The sequence below is a fragment of the Homo sapiens genome, chromosome 2 (genome assembly GCF_000001405.40).
Source record: "Homo sapiens chromosome 2, GRCh38.p14 Primary Assembly".
NCBI lineage: Eukaryota > Metazoa > Chordata > Mammalia > Primates > Hominidae > Homo > Homo sapiens.
Genome location: NC_000002.12, coordinates 192,494,819 through 192,514,213, shown reverse-complemented (window position 1 = coordinate 192,514,213; position 19,395 = coordinate 192,494,819). Strand labels below are relative to the sequence as shown.

The window sequence follows — 19,395 nt, the reverse complement described above, 5'->3', positions numbered from 1 at the left end:
CTGTTCCATAGGGGATTAACTTTCAACATGAATTTTGGACCGGACACCCTCATTCAAACAATAGCAGTCTGCATTTGATAGTATTGTACCACTGTCAATTTCCCGGGTTTAATATTGGGTTATGATTTCATATAATATTATCATGGGAAGCTGGGTAAAGAGTAGATTGTATCTCTGTACTATCTCTGCAACTACATATGACTATTAAAATATTTCAAAATCAAGCATCATTTTAAAATAATAACTTTATCATTTAAATATTTATTATTTTCAATTTGAAATGTAAATACTGTAAGCTATATTATTTATAATATATAGCTGCTTAGGAAGGATTTTCTTCCCAGCTGTGGGGAGTTTCGTCGTCAGACAGCCTCCACCTGTCAATTGCTTCAGAATGTGAATCAGCTGCAGAGAGCTGCCTTATTCGAAAACACACTCTTTCCGTGAAGGCCACTCCCAGTGGCTGAGAGAAGTGGAAATATGAAGGAGTCACCATTTGCACCATTTGTGGGACAACTCTAACAAAGAATACACACTTCAGATAAACTCACTCAGTTGAATGAGGTTTTGTGGGACTGCATTAGGGTGTGACTTCTCCTTCCCAGGCTTAATGGCTCCTCTTTTTGTTCACATCTTACAACCCAAACATCATCTGTCTGCTCCTAAAGTACTCAATCTGTAACAGTATTTTTGTGTCATTTTAAAAACTTACCTCCCCGTAACTCACCAATAAAGTTATATACAGTTTTGGTTATTTCAATAGGTATTGCTTATACAATATTGAATATAGAAATGTACACATAAGCTATATAGAATGATAAAATTACATCTGCATTTGCTTGATCTTTTTATGTATTGTTATTGAATAAGTCAGGGTCCTCCAGAGAAAAAGAACTGGTAGAACCATATGTATATATATATATATATATATTTGAAAACATAGAATATATTACTCTTTAGTATTCTTATGATAGTATATGATTATAGTATTATAGTATATATTATACTATATTATTCTTATAATATTATTTTCATGTGCGTCCCTGTGAAGAGACCACCAAACAGGCTTTGTGTGAGCAACATGGCTGTTTATTTCACCTGGGTGCAGGCGGGCTGAGTCCGAAAAGAGAGTCAGCGAAGGGAGATAAGGGTGGGGCTGTTTTATAGGATTTGGGTAGATAAAGGAAAATTACAGTCAAAGGGGGCTTCTTCTCTGGCGGGCAGAGTGGGGGGGTCACAAGGTGCTCAGTAGGGGAGCTTTTGAGCCAGAATGAGCCAGGAGAAGGAATTTCACAAGACAATGTCATCAGTTAAGGCAGGAACAGGCCATTTTCATTTCTTTTGTGGTGGAATGTCATCAGTTAAGGTAGGAACCGGCCATCAGGATGTGTATGTGCAGGTCACAGGCGATATGATGGCTTAGCTTGGGCTCAGAGGCCTGACATTCCTGTCTTCTTGTATTAATAGGAAAAATAAAACGAAATAGTGGTAAAGTGTTGGGACGGCAAAAATTTTTGGGGGGTAGTATGGAGAGATAATGGGCGATGTTTCTCAGGGCTGCTTCGGGTGAGATTAGGGGTGGCGTGGGAACTTACAGTAGGAGAGATTAAGCCGAAGGAAGATTTTTTGGTAAGGGGTGATATTGTGGGGTTGTTAGAAGAAACATTTGTCTTGTAGAATTATTGGTGATGGCCTGGATACAGTTTTGTATGAATTGAAAAACTAAACAGAATAAGAGAAGGAGAAAAACAGGCATTAAAGGACTAAGAATTGGGAGGACCTAGGACATCTAATTAGAGAGTGCCCAAGGAGATTCAGCATAGCCTTGCCAGTAAAGATTATTTATTTACTTTAAGAGTTGAGAGTGGTGGTTTGGGGATAGCACCAGGAGATATCAGCTGTGATGACTTGGAGAAACAGTGTAAACTGGCAGTGTAAACAAGAGCAGGGCACGTATGAGTAGTTGAGAACGATGAATAGGAGTATGACTAGACAGAAGATAGTAGGGATGACAAGTTTTTTGGGGCACAGTCTAAATTGGTCTGGTGTGTGGAATGAGACTGGGGCCTAATAAAAAGGAGCATCTATACAGGAGCTTAAATGGGCTGTACCTTGTAGCATTCCGAGGACAGGCCTGAATTCTGAGAAGTGAAAGTGGTAAAAGTATTGTCTAGTCTTTTTTAAGTTGGTGGCTGAGCTTGGTGAGGTGTGTTTTTAATAGACTATTGGTCTGTTCTACTTTTCCTGAAGACTGAGGACTGTAAGGGATATAAAGGTTTCACTGAATACTAAGAGCCTGAAAAAATGCTTGGCTGATTTGACTAATAAAGGCTGATCTGTTATCAGACTGTATAGGGGTGGAAAGGCTCAACTGAGGAATTATGTCTGACAGAAGGGAAGAAATGGCTGCGGTGGCATTCTCAGACCCTGTAGGAAAGGCCTCTACTTATCTAGTGAAAGTGTCTACCTGGACTAAGAGGTATTTTAGTTATCTGACTCGGGGCATGTTGAGTAAAGCTAATTTGCCAGTCCTGGGTGGGGGCAAATCCTCAAGCCTGATGTGTAGGGAAGGGAGGGGGCCTGAATAATCCTTGATAAGTAGTAGAATAGCAGATGGAACACTGAGAAGTTATTTCCTTGAGGATAGATTTCTACCATGGAAAGGAAATGAGAGGTTTTAAGAGGCAGGCTAGTGGCTTGTACTATACATAGCCTGCCTTTGCTGGTGTGTGGCGATTAGGCCTGGTGGAACTGCCATCAATAAATCAAGTGTGACCAGGGTGAGGAACAGGAAAGAAGGAAATATGGGGAAATGGGGTGAATGTCAGGTGGATCAGAGAGATAGAGTCATGGAGGTCAGGTGTGGTATCAGGAATAATGTGGGAGGCCGGATTGAAGTCCGGGCCAGGAACAGTGGTAATTGTGGGACTTAACAAAGAGTGAGTACAGCTGAAGGAGCCGGGGAGCAGAAAGTATATGTGTCAGGTATGAGGAAGAAAATAGATTTTGGAAGTTATGAGAAATGTAGAGAGCGAGTTGAGCATAGTTTGTGATTTTGAGGGCCTTTAAAAGTATTAGGGTGGCAGCAGCCACTCCACGGAGACATGACGGCTAGGCTAAAACAGTAAGCTCAAGTTGTTTGGACAGAAAGGCTACAGGGTGCGGTACTGGCTCTTGTGTAAGAATTCTGACCACACTAACCATGCCTAGGAAGGAAAGGAGTTATTTTGTAAGGGATTGAGGTTTCGGGAGATTAATCGGACACGATCAGTAGGGAGAGCACGTGTGTTTTTATGAGAATTATGCCGAGATAGGTAACAGATGAGGATGAAATTTGGGCTTGACTGAAGTAATGGGGGCTGTCTGTGAAGCCTTGCGGCAGTACAGCCCAGGTAATTTGCTGAGCCTAATGGGTGTCAGGGTCAGTCTAAGCGAAAGCAAAGAGAGGCTGGGGTGAAGGGTGCAAAGGAATAGTAAAGACAGCATGTTTGAGATCCAGAACAGAATAATGGATTGTGGAGGGAGGTATTGAGGATAGGAGAGTATATGGGTTTGGCACCACGGGGTGGATAGGCAAAACAATTTGGTTGATAAGGCGCAGATCCTGAACTAACCTGTAAGGCTTGTCTGGTTTTAGGACAGCTAAAATGGGGGAATTGTAAGGAGAGTTTATAGGCTTTAAAAGGCCATGCTGTAACAGGCAAGTGATAACAGGCTTTAATCTTTTCAAAGCATGCTGTGGGATGGGATATTGGCATTGAGCGGGGTAAGAGTGATTAGGTTTTAATGGGATGGTAAGGGGTGCATGATCGGTCACCAAGGAAGGAGTAGAGGTGTCTTATACTTGTGGGTTAAGGTCGGGGGATACAAAGGGAGGATGTGAAGGAGGCTTTGAACTGGGGGAAAAGGTGGCAATGAGGTGTTGCTGTAGTCCAGGAATAGTCAGGGAAGCAGATAATTTAGTTAAAGTGTCTCGGCCTAATAAGGGAACTGGGCAGGTGGGGATAATTAAAGGAGTGCTTAAGAGAGTATTGTCTAAGTTGGCACCAGAGTTGGGGAGTTTTAAGAGGTTTAGAAGCCTGGCCGTCAATACCCACAACAGTTATGGAGGCAAGAGAAACAGGCCTTTGAAAATAAGGTAATGTGGAGTGGGTAGCCTCCGTATTAAGAAGGGGACGGATTTACTTTCCACTGTGAGAGTTACCAAGAGTATCTCTGATGGTCCTGTAGGCTTCTGAGGTGATCGGGCAGTGTCAGTCTTCAGCTGCTAAGCCGAGAAGATCTGGGAAGGAGTCAGTCAGAGAGCTTTGGGCCAGAGTTCCAGGGACTCTGGAAGTGGCTGAAAGGTGAGTTGAACAGTCCAATTTTCAGTGGGGTCCTACACAGATGGGACATGGCTTAGGAGGAATCCTGGGCTGTGGGCATTCCTTGGCCTAGTGGCCAGATTTCCAGCACTTGTAGCAAGCTCCTGGGGGAGGAGGTTCTGGAGGAACCCTTGGCAGCTGCGGTTCAGGCGTTTGGAGTTCTTGTGTGCTGGAGATGTGGCTGGGGTTTGTCTCACAGTGGAGGCAAAGAATTGCAACTCAGAAATATGTTGCTACTTGGCTGCCTGTATTATTGTACACCTTGAAGGTTAGGTTAATTAAGTCCTGTTGTGGGGTTTGAGGGCCAGAATCTATTTTTTGGAGTTTTATTTAATGTCAGGAGCAGATTGGGTAATAAAATGTATATTGAGAATAAGATGGCCTTTTGACCTTTTAGGGTCTAGGGCTGTAAAGCGTCTCAGGGTTGCTGCCGAACGAGCCATGAACTGGGCTGGATTTTTTATATTTGATGAAAAAGAGTCTGAATGCTAACTAATTTGGGAGAGGTTGGATAAAGAAAAAGGAGCATTAACCTTGACTGTGCCTTTTGCTCCAGCCACCTTTTTAAGAGGAAATTGCTGGGCAGGTGGGGGAGGGCTAGTCGCGGAACAAAACTGTAAACTGGACCAGCTGTGAGGATGTGTCCGGAATTGGTGGGTTCTTGGTCTCACTGACTTCAAGAATGAAGCCGTGGACCCTCGCGGTGAGTGTTACACGTCTTAAGGTGGCGCGTCTGGAGTCTGTCCCTTCTGATGTTCAGATGTGTTCGGAGTTTCTTCCTTCTGGTGGGTTTGTGGTCTCGCTGGCTCAGGAGTGAAGCTGCAGACGTTTGCGGTGAGTAGCTCTTAAGGCAGCGCGTCTGGAGTTGTTCATTCCTCCCGGTGAGCTCGTGGTCTTGCTGGGCTCAGGAGTGAAGCTGCAGATCTTCGCGGTGAGTGTTACAGCTCATTAAAGCAGTGTGGACCCAAAGAGTGAGCAGTAGCAAGATTTATTGCAAAGAGCAAAAGAACAAAGCTTCCACAGTGTGGAAGGGGACCCGAGCGGGTTGCCAATGCTGGCTCAGGCAGCCTGCTTTTATTCTCTTATCTGGCCCCACCCACATCCTGCTGATTGGTAGAGCCCAGTGGCCTGTTTTGACAGGGTGCTGATTGGTGCATTTACAATCCCTGAGCTAGATACAAAGGTTCTCCACGTCCCCATCAGATTAGTTAGATACGGAGTATCGACACAAAGGTTCTCCAAGGCCCCACCAGAGCAGCTAGATACAGAGTGTCGATCGGTGCACTCACAAACCTTGAGCTAAACACAGGGTGCTGATTGGTGTGTTTACAAACCTTGAGCTAGATACAGAGTGCTGATTGGCGTATTTACAATCCCTGAGCTAGACATAAAGTCTTTCCACGTCCCCACCAGACTCAGGAGCCCAGCTGGCTTCACCTAGTGGATCCCGCACTGGGGCTGCAGGTGGAGCTGCCTGCCAGTCTCGTGCCGTGCGCTCGCACTCCTCAGCCCTTGGATGGTCGATGGGACTGGGCGCCATGGAGCAGGGGGTGGCGCTTGTCAAGGAGGCTCAGGCCGCACAGGAGCCCACGGAGGGGGTGGGAGGCTCAGGCATGGCGGGCTGCAGATCCTGAGCCCTGCCCCGCGGGAAGGCAGCTAAGGCCCGGTGAGAAATCGAGTGCAGCGCTGGTGGGCTGGCACTGCTGGGGGACCCAGTACACCCTCCGCAGCCGCTGTTCTGGGTGCTAAGCCCCTCAATGCCCGGGGCCAGCAGGGCCAGCTGGCCGCTCCGAGTGCGGGGCCCGCCAAGCCCATGCCCACCTGGAACTCCAGCTGGCCCACAAGCACTGCGTGTAGCCCCGGTTCCCGCTCGTGCCTATCCCTCCACACCTCCCTGCAAGCTGAGGGAGCTGGCTCTGGCCTTGGCCAGCCCAGGAAGGGGCTCCCACAGTGCAGCGGTGGGCTGAAGGGCTCAAGTGTCGCCAAAGTGGGAACCCAGGCAGAGGACGCGCCGAGAGCAAGCGAGGGCTCTGAGGACTGCCAGCACGCTGTCACCTCTCAAGGAGGGGAGGTGATAAAAGGATTATAGGGTGGAGGAGCAGAGGCTGAGGAAGAATTGGGACCTAGCTCAGCCTGGCAAGGAGGGGAGAGGTCAGATGGGTCTGTAGAAAAGGAAGATTAGAAAGGGTCAGTGATGCTTGGGGTTGGGACTGAGGGGACAGGCAGGAGGGAAAGAAGGAAGATTTGGGACTAGTTGCATTGGGAAGAGAGACTAGGGAGTGACTGATGTGTAAAAGAGTGCCTGGACGTCAGGCACCTGAGACCATTTGCCTATTTTTTGACAAAAATTATTTAGGTCTTGTAGGATGGAGAAATCGAAAGTGCCATTTTCTGGCCATTTAGAACCACTGTCGAGTTTGTACTGGGGTCAAGTGGCATTGTAGAAGAAAATAAGACATTTAGGTTTTAGGTCAGGCGAGAGTTGAAGAGGTTTTATGTTCTTTAGAACACAGGCTAAGGGAGAAGAAGGAGGAATGGAGGGTAGAAGGTTGCCTATAGTGAAGGAGGCAAGTTTAAAGAAAAGGGAGAGTAGACACACGGAAGGAAGCGTTTCAGGGGTTCTTACCCTCCAGAAAAGCGGGAAAGGGTTCGGGGCGCAGAGATACGAGGTCGGGACATGGAAATAAGGGATCAGGGTGCAGAGCTATAAGAGGTGGGGGCATGGAAATAAGGGATCGGGGCACAGAGATACGAGGTTGGGGTACTTGCCCCTCCCCCAGAAAAGCGGGACTTGCCGCTAAGGGTGAAGGAGAAGGGGTTGGGGGTTTCTTGCCCCCTAGAAACGCGGAGAAGGGGTAGAGACATGGAGAGAAGGGTTTGGGGTACTTGCCTCTCCCGCAGAAAAGCGGGACTTGCTGCTAAGGGTGAAGGACTAAGGCAGGCGTCCCTGAGTGGTCTGACACCTCTGAAACGTGGGTGAATAATCAGAGAGGCATCCCTGCAATGATTAAACACCAAGGGAAGGCTGCCTTCCCAGTCAGTGACCGGCACCGGAGTTTTGGGTCCACGGATAAAACGTGTCTCCTTTGTCTCTACCAGAACATGAAAGGAATTGAAATTAAGAGAAGGGAGAGATTGAAGAGTGGAAAGGAGAAAGTGGTTGAGGGATGGTGAGAGAGGTTGGAGAAGAGAGGAAGAAGAGGCTGCTTACCCGATTTAAAATTGGTGAGATGTTTCTTGGGCTGTTGGGTCTGAGGACCTGAGGTTGTAGGTGGATCTTTTTCACAGAGCAAAGAGCAGGAGGACAGGGGATTGATCTCCCAAGGGAGGTCCCACAATCCGAGTCACAGCACCAAATTTCATGTGTGTCCATGTGAAGAGACTACCAAACAGGCTTTGTGTGAGCAATATGGCTGTTTATTTCACATGGGTGCAGCTGGGCTGAGTCCAAAAAGAGAATCAGCAAAGGGAGATAAGGGTGGGGCTGTTTTATAGGATTTAGGTAGATAAAGGAAAATTACAGTCAAAGGGGGCTTGTTTTCTGGCAGGCAGCGTGGAGGGTCACAAGGTGCTCAGTGGGGGAGCTTTTGAGCCAGGATGAGCCAGGAGAAGGAATTTCACAAGACAATGTCATCAGTTAAGGCAGCAACAGGCCATTTTCACTTCTTTTGTGGTGGAATGTCATCAGTTAAGGCAAGAACCGGCCATCTGGATATGTATGTGCAGGTCACAGGGGATATGATGGCTTAGCTTAGGCTCAGAGGCCTGACAATTATAATCTTATATGTATATAAGATTATGTATATAATACACACACCTATCTATAGCCCAATAAAGTTGAAACCTAAAATTAACCATCACACTCACTGTGGCTTGATTTTCTATGTGCTTATCACTAGTTCATGCCCAAACACTATAGAATAATTACCCAGCCACATTAACGATGTTTAACTATAAGGAGCAACCATGACATTTCTATAAATGTCATCTATCCTTATATTTGAGTGATAACCAAGTATAGAATACTAGTTTGGAAATTATGTATTTCAGAATTGGAAAGGCATATCTTATTTTCTTCTAACACCTGCTGTTATTGTTAAGAAGTTAATGTCATTTAGATACTTAATCCTCTTGATGTGCTTATTTGTTTTTCTTTGTGGAAGACTTTGGCATCTTTATTTCTAGTGGCTACAATTTCATAATGTATCTTTGTGTGGATAAGTCTTTTTAAAATAATTGTGTAAGGTATGCACTAGATGCTTTCATTTTAAAAAATAGTTTTATTAGCTTTTACATAATTTTCTTCTATTCTCTCTTGTAAACTAATATTATTCATCCCCAAGATTCCATTTTTATTTCTTCATTTTTTTCTGCTGTGAGCCAATTTTTTACCTTTTATTTTCTGGGAGTTTTCTCAAATTTATCATCTAACCTTGCAAAGGACTTTTTATTTATACTGTCATATTTTAGATTTCCAAGAGAATTATTACACTTGGGTGTTTTTTATAGTACTAGAAATACATGAATGCATTGCCTTCTCCTATCTCCTAGGGGATATTGATTATAGTTATAGTTGTTTTGAGATTTTTCTTCTGATCTCTGAATTGTTTATATTTTATCTGTGATAACTTTTTTCATTGTTTTAGTCAATATATTTGATTGAAGTTTTTCTTAAATATCTTGTGGTCTTATTTTTTAAATTTGTATTTACATTTAAGAAGGAGCTAATTGAAATCTCTCAGTTCTTGGATGGAGTATGTTGAAGGTTAGGCTTCAAAGCAAATTGATAAGACAGTGAACTAGAATTTTCACTGAACAACTGACTTAATATCCCCACAGAGGGATACTATAATGTCCTGCATCGTAGGAGGGGCAGGGAAGAATCTCCATGTCAGCTTTATGGGACCTACTGGGGCGCAGAGGTAGTCTCATTGATGAATATGTACACTTTAACATTCTGAATCTGTGTTTACACACCTCACAAGTTTTCTCAGTTATGCAAACGTTTTCAAAAAATAAACTTCCTAGCTTCTATTAAGGGATCAGCAATCTTCTGCTATGTTAGGTTTGAAAAGAGATTCAGTCACTTAACACATATTTACTTAATTCTGATTATATGCCAAACACTGTTATAGGTAATTGAGATAAAACAGTAAAGATAACAGACAATATCTCTAACCTAATATAGCTTACATTCAAAAGGATCCAGGGGCTAAATACTCTTCAATCAAATTTTGAAACAAACTTTGTTTTCGGCCTCAACCTAAACCCCCAACTTTGGTGATTTTGATCCAAGTCATGAGCCTCTGGGAGTTTCTGCACTGAGTCCATTTGCTTCACTTTGACTTTCCTTCCTATAGGCTTAAGTATCAGCTTTCACTTGCGAACTATGGCAGGTCACATTTTCATCTATTTACATGTTCCATGAAATTTGGCTAAAATTCTTGTTGTGGTTATCCCTAAACACTTCTATGTTGTTTGATTTTCTAATTAAAATCTGTTTAAAATATTATTTGAACTAACAATTTATATACAATACATCTCTAATTGTATGTCTCCTTTTTACTGATGGATGATATATAACTAGTTCATAGATAAGTGATGACTTTTTCAAAGGGCTAATTGCAATTTCTCTGGATTTACAAAGCTTGTAATTTTAAGAGCCAAGTTTTAATTTCTGCATATGATTATATTAATGGGATTGTCCAGTGAAGAGATGAATGCTAAATCAGACTGATTTGAATTAGTTTTCAAAAGGAGAGTGGAGGCAAACTTACACTCCAATCTCATTTAGAATACAAACACAGAATTCATTTTCAGATTGATTGTACCAGTTGCAACATTGATAACTTTACAAATTTACTAACATAGATTTCTCTCTCCATGAAGAGTTTTGTGAGTTGCTTTTCTCCCCTGAAATCCATTTTCATTGTAATGCATTCTTCAGAATGAATAATTTTAACTTAATACAAAAAAATGGTGACACTTCTGCCATCTCAGGACTTGAGTCAACCAGCTATAGTCAGAGGCTCTGAATCAGTAGCACAGCAAATGGATATGGTGAATTCATTACCTTTGATATTAATTTATAAATAGTAAACCTTTAATATAAATTACATTTTTACCAATTTCTAAAATTAGGATAATTAGAAATAAAAAAATGAAATATATGAAGTAGATTAGATAATTGTTCACAGATGTCCTTCTTCCTCCCTTATCTCCAGTATGTATGTATTTCCCCATTTTTCGACTTTGGGTTTAACAGTGTGACTTGCCTGGACCAAGTGGATATTAGAAGCTATGTACTAAGCAAGATCTTGAAATATGTTTATACAGTAAACTTAGTCTCTTATATTTCTGCAATATCCATAAGGAGATGATCCCATAGATAGTTGCTAATACCTCATGTACACCCCAGATGGAAATGCATCCTGCAGTGTGAAGCGTTGCCAACTCAACATCACAACTGGAAGCAGACCTACAGTTTTTGGTATAAAACAAACACATATTTTGTGTCACTAAGATTTTAAAGATATTTGTTATCAAATTGGAAGGAAGATGTGTGGCACAGCTGTAACAAAAATAAAATATGTAGCATTGGTTTGTGATTGACCAATGAGTAAAGAGGGCATTCCTATAGGAAGCAGGAGAAAATGACAAGAGAGCTGTTACAAAAAATTGTGACCTGAATTGTAATATATTGGTAAAGCATTTGACAGACTAAACACTGCTGTACCTTGTGAGGCACAAAATGTGCCTTTTGAACTTGTAGACTTGGACAAGATGGTTTACAGAAAGGATATTAAAAGTGTGTACTGGATCTTGTTATCTGTATTTTGATAATGTACTTCCCAAAGGACAAGCCAAATTAAGTGTGAATATAGTAAGTCCAGATATTCTAGGATTTTTGAAATTGGAAACAAAGTAGTTTCTCATCTCCAAAAATGGATTTTCAAACCAAAGGCAAGGGGACAAAGCTGGAGGACAGAGACCATTTCCATGACGCTATCCAGTAAATACAGTCTGAAGAGTTAAGAACAATTTTTTAAAATGTGAATATGACACTTTTTATGAAGATCTAAAAGTAAAACAGTTGGTTTCTGGTACACCCTTTTAGCCATACAAAAGGACTCCTACTAAAAAATACCAATAAAAGAGAAAGGCATGAGGCATGCCTAAATAGCAATTGGAAACATAGCTTATGGCACATTGACTTGATGAAACCAAACAGACTGAAGAACCGCATAGCACTAAGAAAGCTTCATCAGAAAAAGTTTGGTCAGCCTGTACTGAATTAGACCGACATGTATTTAAGAGAAGACAAGACATCTTGGCCTACAACTTTATATGGGCAACTTTCAATGGGCAAGTGGGCTTGGAAAGCTGCTCAACATCACACTAAAAAGTAAATTTTATAATGCCCTCTTCAGGAGCAGCCAAGGATGAATATGAAAAATGAAAAAGCTTTCAGAGAGCAAAGCCAAGAGTCACGGAGAATAATCTACTACTGGGTTACTCCCACAGAGCAGAACCAGGGTAGAAAGACCTAATAATACATGGTTAATGAGATTTCAGAATTGGTATGGACCATTCTCTTCCTTATAGCTCCTGCTTTTCTCTTTTTCTGATTTTCTGATTTTTTTTCCCTAATTCTATCCATGTTTCACCATTTTATGTTGAGTATGTGGGAAAACAAGTAAGGACAAATAACTAGATTTGGGGTTCAAAGTACTCCAGAACCAAAAAGGGCCACATTTGGAATTCCTATAAACCATAAGATTCTAGAATTTGAGTCAGATGACATCACTGGCTGAGACTTTGGGGAATCTTAGGATGGAGGTAGCATGTTTTTTGCATTGAAGGAATGTGAATATTTATGAAACGTGTTAAGACTAGATTATTGTTGAAAAGTATTTATTCTTCCCCATCTCCCCAACTTCATGGGAGTTATATGCTTCCTGTCTTTTGATTTGGGGCTAATTCATATGACTTGATTAGCCAATGAAATGTTAGCAGACAAGAAAATAGCTAAGGCTTGAATTATACCTTAATGTTGAGATTTGTTCTTTTGTGCAGCTGCCATTACCGTGAGATGTCCTAGAAACGACAATGCTGCCTCAACTATGGCCCTGGGAATAAACACCATGGGGCAGGATTCCTCAGCCATGGTAACTTAAAGCAGAAGCACTGTAAACAAATTAAATGTGCAGGCATGAACAAAATAAATGCTTATTGCCTGCCTCCAAAATGATATGAATATTGGTCATATAGCAATAGTTTGTGATCTAACTTTAATTCAAATGAAAAATTTTTAAAAACACACAACTCATGTAAATGGAGAAAACAAAAAATAAGTAAATTGCCAAGCTATTAATGATGCTCATATTTAGGTATAAGGGCATGAATCATATTTTTCTTTGATATAGTTTACATATATTTTACAGACTAGCATCTGCATAGTGTTTAAAAGTATAAACATTCTCATACAAATCTTATTATTTGTGTGTGTGCTCCACTATCCAAAAGTTCTATTTAACTGGTAATACATCTTTTGCAGTAAACCAAATACTGATATTATTCACATGAAGAAATTTTGTTTTACAATTTTAATTATGTTTATGGGATATTTATTTAATGACCTTGAGGAAAATATTAAACTATTACACAAACAATGACTATAAAATCCTATGATCTTGTGATTTTTATTTACTTTGAAGCAGGATATTTCTCTGACTCCTTGGCATGACTCATGACAAGGGTGCCTCATTTACCCAGCCCACAGCTTTCAACTCCTCATGCGTGGGAGGGAATGTGTGAGAGAATGAGGCAAGAACTGGAGTGCACGAACACTGGAACCAGCCAGCTGCTTTAGCACTGGCAGGAGTGAACTCCACTCACTCAGACCCTCTGTGCTCCACCCCTTATGGGGTGGAGCAGGCAGCTGAATGGGTGCAGGAGCTGGGGCAAGTGCTTTTGGGTGTTAGCAGGAGCATACTCTGTGCAGACCTCACTGTGGTTTCTGGCAGTGGGCAGGGGATGCCCACAGCCCTTGAAGCCCCAGAGGGCATGTTACAGCATTCTTTTAGCTCTGCCATCCATGAATGGCTTATGTGTTAACAGCTCACATGGGACCTTTTGTATCTGCACTGGTGGGTACCAAGCTGTTGTCCAGCATCCAGGAGAAGTGAGGTCCTACGAACTAATTGAAGAATAATAAATGTGGGAGATTGTATTGCTGATGAAAGTGGCTCTCAGTGGGAAGGGGAGCTGAAAAGGAGATGGGGCAGGAAGGTAATCTTCCCCTGAAGTCCAGTGGTCTCCAGGCGAATTTTTGTCCAAAGTTATATCATCAAGCTGTCCCTCTGAAGTCAAGCGGCTTCTCTCTGATGTCCAGCCATAGTCTCCATCATCCAGCTGCTTCTCCTCTCTGCTGACTGAGTCTGGGGTCTTTATAGGCCTAGGGTGGTGGGGTGGGATGGGGTGGGCCATGGGTAGTTTAGGAAAAGGCAACATTCAAGCAGGAAAACAGGGACAGAAGTTCTGAATTTGGGCCGTGGTTTCAGGCTTTTCAGTCTGAGGGTGTGGTTTCGCCAGGGAACCCATCCTTCTCTGCCTACAATTTCTCTGCCTCCTGTCCCTATCAATTCAATTCTATGCCACAAGCTGACCTACTGCCTGTTAGAGCTTTTCATGTTGTTGTTGTTGTTGTTGTTGTTGTTGTTGTTGTTTAGTTTGGCTATAGTCTTCAAAAATATAATTACTCAAAAATTATTTTTGATAATGTTTGAAACATTCAATTGAGGCATGCTCCAAAAGGTATAAAAAATGTGATTTTGCTAAGAAGAGGATTTCAAAAAAGAAAGCAAAACAAAACAAAAAACAGATACTGTTTTAATCAATAGTACTTCTCACAGAGTATATTTGGGACTCCATTTTCCAAGTATATGATAAGATTTTACTTTTAAGCTCCCTGGGCTTGGGTGGAACTGTGCAAGTGATTCTGGCCAATGAGATTTGTGCACAGTGATATGTGTCATTATTAGGAAAGACATTCACATGCTGCCTTCAGAGCTCCCTCTTTTATCACTCACATGGCAACTGGGAATATTTGAGATGGGGTCTGGTCTGCAAGCCTGTTGCTCTGTGTGATTACCATAAGCAGATTTCCCTGATGACTCATGATTGTGTAGTGTGAGTAAAAAACATAAACACTTTGTAACTTTGTAACAATTGTGGTTTTGTTCTTGCAGCATAACCTGGATTATTATGATTTATGTCCCCTATTTGATACCACCCTCCCCCCAAAAAGAGTGATAAGAAAGGCAATTAGTGGTTGACCATAAATATGTGGAATTGCATAAAAGGTAGTACATTTATTAAAGGTAGTACATTTATTTAAAAAACAAAACTAGTTTCAAGACACCATTCCATAAAAGAAGTCAACTAACCAGGTTATCCACTTTTAGCCTTTAAATCCCTGAAGTAACATCTTACCTCAGAGAAGGCTTTCCTGATAGCCCAATTCCATCATATCAAGTTATTTCCTCCAAGTTATAATAACCAAGTTATAATTGTCCTTTTATTTTCTATTTTCCCTTTACTACTGCAATATCCAGTTGGGCAAGTGCCATTTCTGCTTATCCATGCGTGTATTCTAGCGTCTAACAAGTTCCTAGTGTTGTGGGACTTTTTCCTTATTTCAGCTAAAGACGTGGGTCCTTACCACACGGCCACAAAAAATTAGGCTCATAGATGATTTGAATAGTGAGTAAGGCAGGGTTTTATTGGGTGAAAAGGGAAAAAACAGGAAACAGGGACCCTCAAGAAGCCAGAGTCCTTGCTCGTGTGCTTCCCGCTTTGCAGTTTGAATCCCAGGTTCCACACAGGAAGAGGAGGGGCCAGGCTCCTCCCCATTGCAAATGGTGTGAACTTCTGTGGCTCCACCCCAGTGTGCATTCTTCCCGGTGCAAAGCCCAGCTGGAGTTTTGCCGGGGAGCCGTTTCAACGTGGTCGTCTCACTAACACATAATACATTCTTCGTGTGTGAGTGTGTGTGTGTGTGTGTGTGTGTGTGTGTGCATGCGCAGGCATGTGCAATTGATTTCTATATTGTCAATGGGTGCTTTTACCTCATAACTGCAGAGCTGTGTAGCTGTGTTAAAAACTGTATGACCCTGCAAGGCCTAAAATATTTGTTATCTGGCTTTTTTACGGAAATGGTTACCTGACCTCAGCTCTAAACAGTCTGAAACAAGACAACTAAGAAGGATGAGCTGAAACAAAATCTTTAGGAAAGGCTATGAGTGAAAGACTGGGAAACCAAATAAAAACACCATGTTTAAAAATCTAGGGATGGATGTGAATCTTTAATTCAGTAAAAGATAGGGGCAGCATTAAATGCAATCAGAGCAAAAAAGACAGAAGACATGTCCAATATAATTGCCTTAATTAGTTCTGAAGAAATGAATCCATGGTGGATAGATAAGAAAGGATGAAGGATGATTTAAGAGACAAAACTGTTTGAAAATGATAGTATACTACTTGTTGTCTCTTTTTGGGGATGAAAACAAGAAGAAATAAACACCTTCCATATTAATTATCCTTTCGATACCTATAATAAATGCCTTCTGTCTCCTAGACTCAATATCATTGAATCATTGATCTTTATTATTTCCTCTTTGTTCTAACAAACACATGGTGTGTGTATGTGGGTGTGTATGTGTGTGTGAGAGACAGAGAGAGAGAAAGAAAGAGAGAAAGAAATGTTACAAACATACAGTGTTCCTTTTGTTTTAATATTGATAGTGCCTCATGTTTGCTCCAGTAAATTAACATCTCCACCTTTACTTACTTGACAGGAAATACAAGTAACAATAGCAATATGACAAGAGAAGATGGAGGCAGACATGTGCTAACAAGGAAGAGAGGGGTGGAAAGATTTATAACTCATCAAAATATGCACACTCTTTCTACTCTATAAGACGTGCTAAGACCACCTGTCTGAGTTATGCAAGTTAACAGCTTTCCAGAAATATAGTTTTACAAATGCTGAATAACATTTTCCTAGCCCTTTAGAAATGATGAGTGGGAAATCTTAAAAACTTATTTTTATTTTTATATAAGTAGTAAGCTTTCTGTGAATTTGCTAATTTGAAGGATTTTGCTAAATTCCAGCACAGACCATGATAAATTACAGTTTTTGCCATTACAGCAACCTAATACAGTATAGGTATGTATTAATTGTAACCCACACATATGTTACAAAGGTATACTGTAACTTCATGTAATATAATTACATGTGTCAATTGAAAAAAATATTTTTAGCAAAGAAAGAATTATGTTTAGGTGCTAGTATAGAATTAAGACACAAAGAAAAGATTGAACAATACCAATAGAGTTAGGGGGTAAGGAAAGAAAGAATATATTGAAAGATTAAGTCAAGTTTCTTTAAAGAAGTACAAATCCAATTTCTGAAACTCTCATTGTGTTCACAATCTTCTATTCTGCTGAACTCTTAGAGTTGGTTCCTAAACTATCTATTCAGAATTTTTCTGTACAAATGTGTTATGTGCATCCACTTAAAGTTGTGTATAAATGAGCCTGGTAACTCCAACATCATTGAAAATTTTGAGTTTATATTCAGTTTCCCACACTCAAGGGTGGGAGAAGAAGTCTCTATTGACTAGAAGTTCAAGTCACTGTTCTCTAAGGCTATACTGAGTAAGAAGTTCAATTGCTCTTCTGTACATTTCCCAAAGATACAGCTTAGCGATTTTCTAATCTGAAATGTATATAAGAGTGATCATTATCAAACTGTTTTACACATCTATTTTGAACTCTCAATATGTTCAGAGGAGAAACTGTAAATTATGTTTATTTTAACATTAAGAAGGTTTAATGTCTAAACCTTCAATCAATCCAAATGCCTTCAGTTTTGGTAGGAATGCTTCAATAACAAAATTCGAAAGAAAAGTCTGGGAGAACATAACTAAACTGTGATATCAAACCATGTTTCTTACTATAGGGATAAATAGAAATGCTTTAATCAATTTGCAACTTGAGGTAGCTATGAGGGTTTTTTTTGTTTGCTTGTTTTTTCCAAATAGTCTGAATCATGTCATATTGGGTAGTTTGGAAGACATTCAGAAATTCTGAAAACCTCCCAAAACATTATTGGAAAACATAAGTTGGTTAAATTTGTGTTTTAAATATGTCGAATGCTAATAGGACCTTAGAGCCTCCCTCTGCTTGTGAGTAAAACTAATTCCAAAGAATCGCATATGTTTATTCAAAAGATGTATGCAATTTGGCAATATTGCTTATATTATTTCTTCATGTAACACTCATGGAAATATTGGTTCAGAAAAGTGACATATCAGTGTTTATCAAAAACATATCTAACATTCAGTATGCCTAATAATCATTACCAGAAAACTACTAAGTATGATGATGCTTTAAAGCATAAAACATAACATTTTCATTTCCTTTAAGTGATAGAAAATATAAAGGGCAGATGCAGCCAGTGTTTGAATAAATAATTACCCAACAAAGGATTTTAAATATTTGTATTCTCTTTGCCTTAGTCAGTTCAGGTTGCTATAACAAAATATCATAGATTAGGTAGCATATAAACAACAGAAATGTATTTCTCACATTTCTGGGAGCTGGGAAGTCCAAGATCAAAGCACCAGCAGATTCAGTGCCTGGTGAGAACCCGCTTCCTGAGTTATAGATGGTGGCCTTCTCTCTGTGTCCTCATGTGGTAGAAGGGCCAAGAAAGCTCTCACAGGTCTCCTTTTTTAAGGTTATTAATCCCATTTATGAAGGCAGAATCCTCATGACCTAATCACCTCCCAAATACCCCACCTACTAATACTATTACATTGGGGTTTAGGTCAACATATGAATTTTGAAGGAACATAAACTTTCAGTACATAGCACTCTTATTGTGGAGCAAAAAAAAAGAAAAAAGAAGAATGCATTTAAGAGACGGGAGAATAGAAGATGTGGGTAGCAAAGCTAAGGTGATGTTTTTTGATGTCCAACCTTTGAAAAATTTGAACTGAGTAAAATCAAAAGAATTGTATCAAAAACTGCTCAGTCTCAAAACTGAATCCTACCTGCTAGGAAGATTTGGCACAATGTAGGTCCAGGGATTGATTCAGGTCAGAGTGCCTTGGTAGATAGGTTCCGGGGGGACGCCCCCAGTAGGAGGAGAGTGCCATTAAAAGCCCTAGATTTCACTTAAACTTTATAACCCTTCATTCTGGGGAGAAGGAAAGCAGGAACTTTTTATGCACAAGAAGGCGATTTCTTTCAATATGGAATTCAAAGCAAAGATTACCCAGTGTTGTTTTTTGTTTGTTTCTGTTTTTGTTCCTGTTGCTTATCAGAAGCTTCAGAAACAAAGGAAGACAGGAGCAAAGTTCTTAGATTTCAGACACTGTATGATTCAGATCGGATTTTGCTTTTCTTTACACCTTCAATATTAATTGAGGGCGTATTAGGTTTTGTATATAATGATAATGAGAATAGGAAGAGGATTATGAAGTTACCATATTTAAGCAGTTTCTATTTTACAACTTTGATTTCTATGTTTACCAATCATTTATTTTAACCATTACCTTATTTTTCATTTGCTATAATGTGATTTGAAATGAGAGATTTAAAACACTCATGTGAACATTATATTTAATTATTTGAATGTAAATGAAATTCCTCATTTCCATCTAGAAGGGGAAAGGAATTTAAAAGAGGAAAATATTGTCCCCTTTTACAAAAACAATATGACACATTCATATAAAACTTATGAATATAAATTGGTGAGGCTATGTTAATTAGCTTGATCAAATCTATCTATAATGTATACATAGATCAAAATATAATATTGTAACTCATAAATATATACAATTATTATTTGTCAATTAAAAATAAATAAAGTTATGACTATAAGCTATATAGTTTAAAAATCTTCACTACCATATATTGGCAATGGAATTTTAATTGATTTTTGACACATAAAATTTGAACA

General features: G+C 40.3%; 2 annotated features.

Moving 5' to 3' along the window:
* Positions 5,477–6,067: an enhancer, noted in NCBI's record as "H3K4me1 hESC enhancer chr2:193372873-193373463 (GRCh37/hg19 assembly coordinates)". NCBI's record gives its function as "activates a minimal SCP1, AML or CMV promoter by ChIP-STARR-seq in naive H9 embryonic stem cells {active_cell/tissue: H9 hESC(naive)}" and the evidence as "EXISTENCE:reporter gene assay evidence [ECO:0000049][PMID:30033119]".
* Positions 6,068–6,659: an enhancer, noted in NCBI's record as "H3K4me1 hESC enhancer chr2:193372281-193372872 (GRCh37/hg19 assembly coordinates)". NCBI's record gives its function as "activates a minimal SCP1, AML or CMV promoter by ChIP-STARR-seq in naive H9 embryonic stem cells {active_cell/tissue: H9 hESC(naive)}" and the evidence as "EXISTENCE:reporter gene assay evidence [ECO:0000049][PMID:30033119]".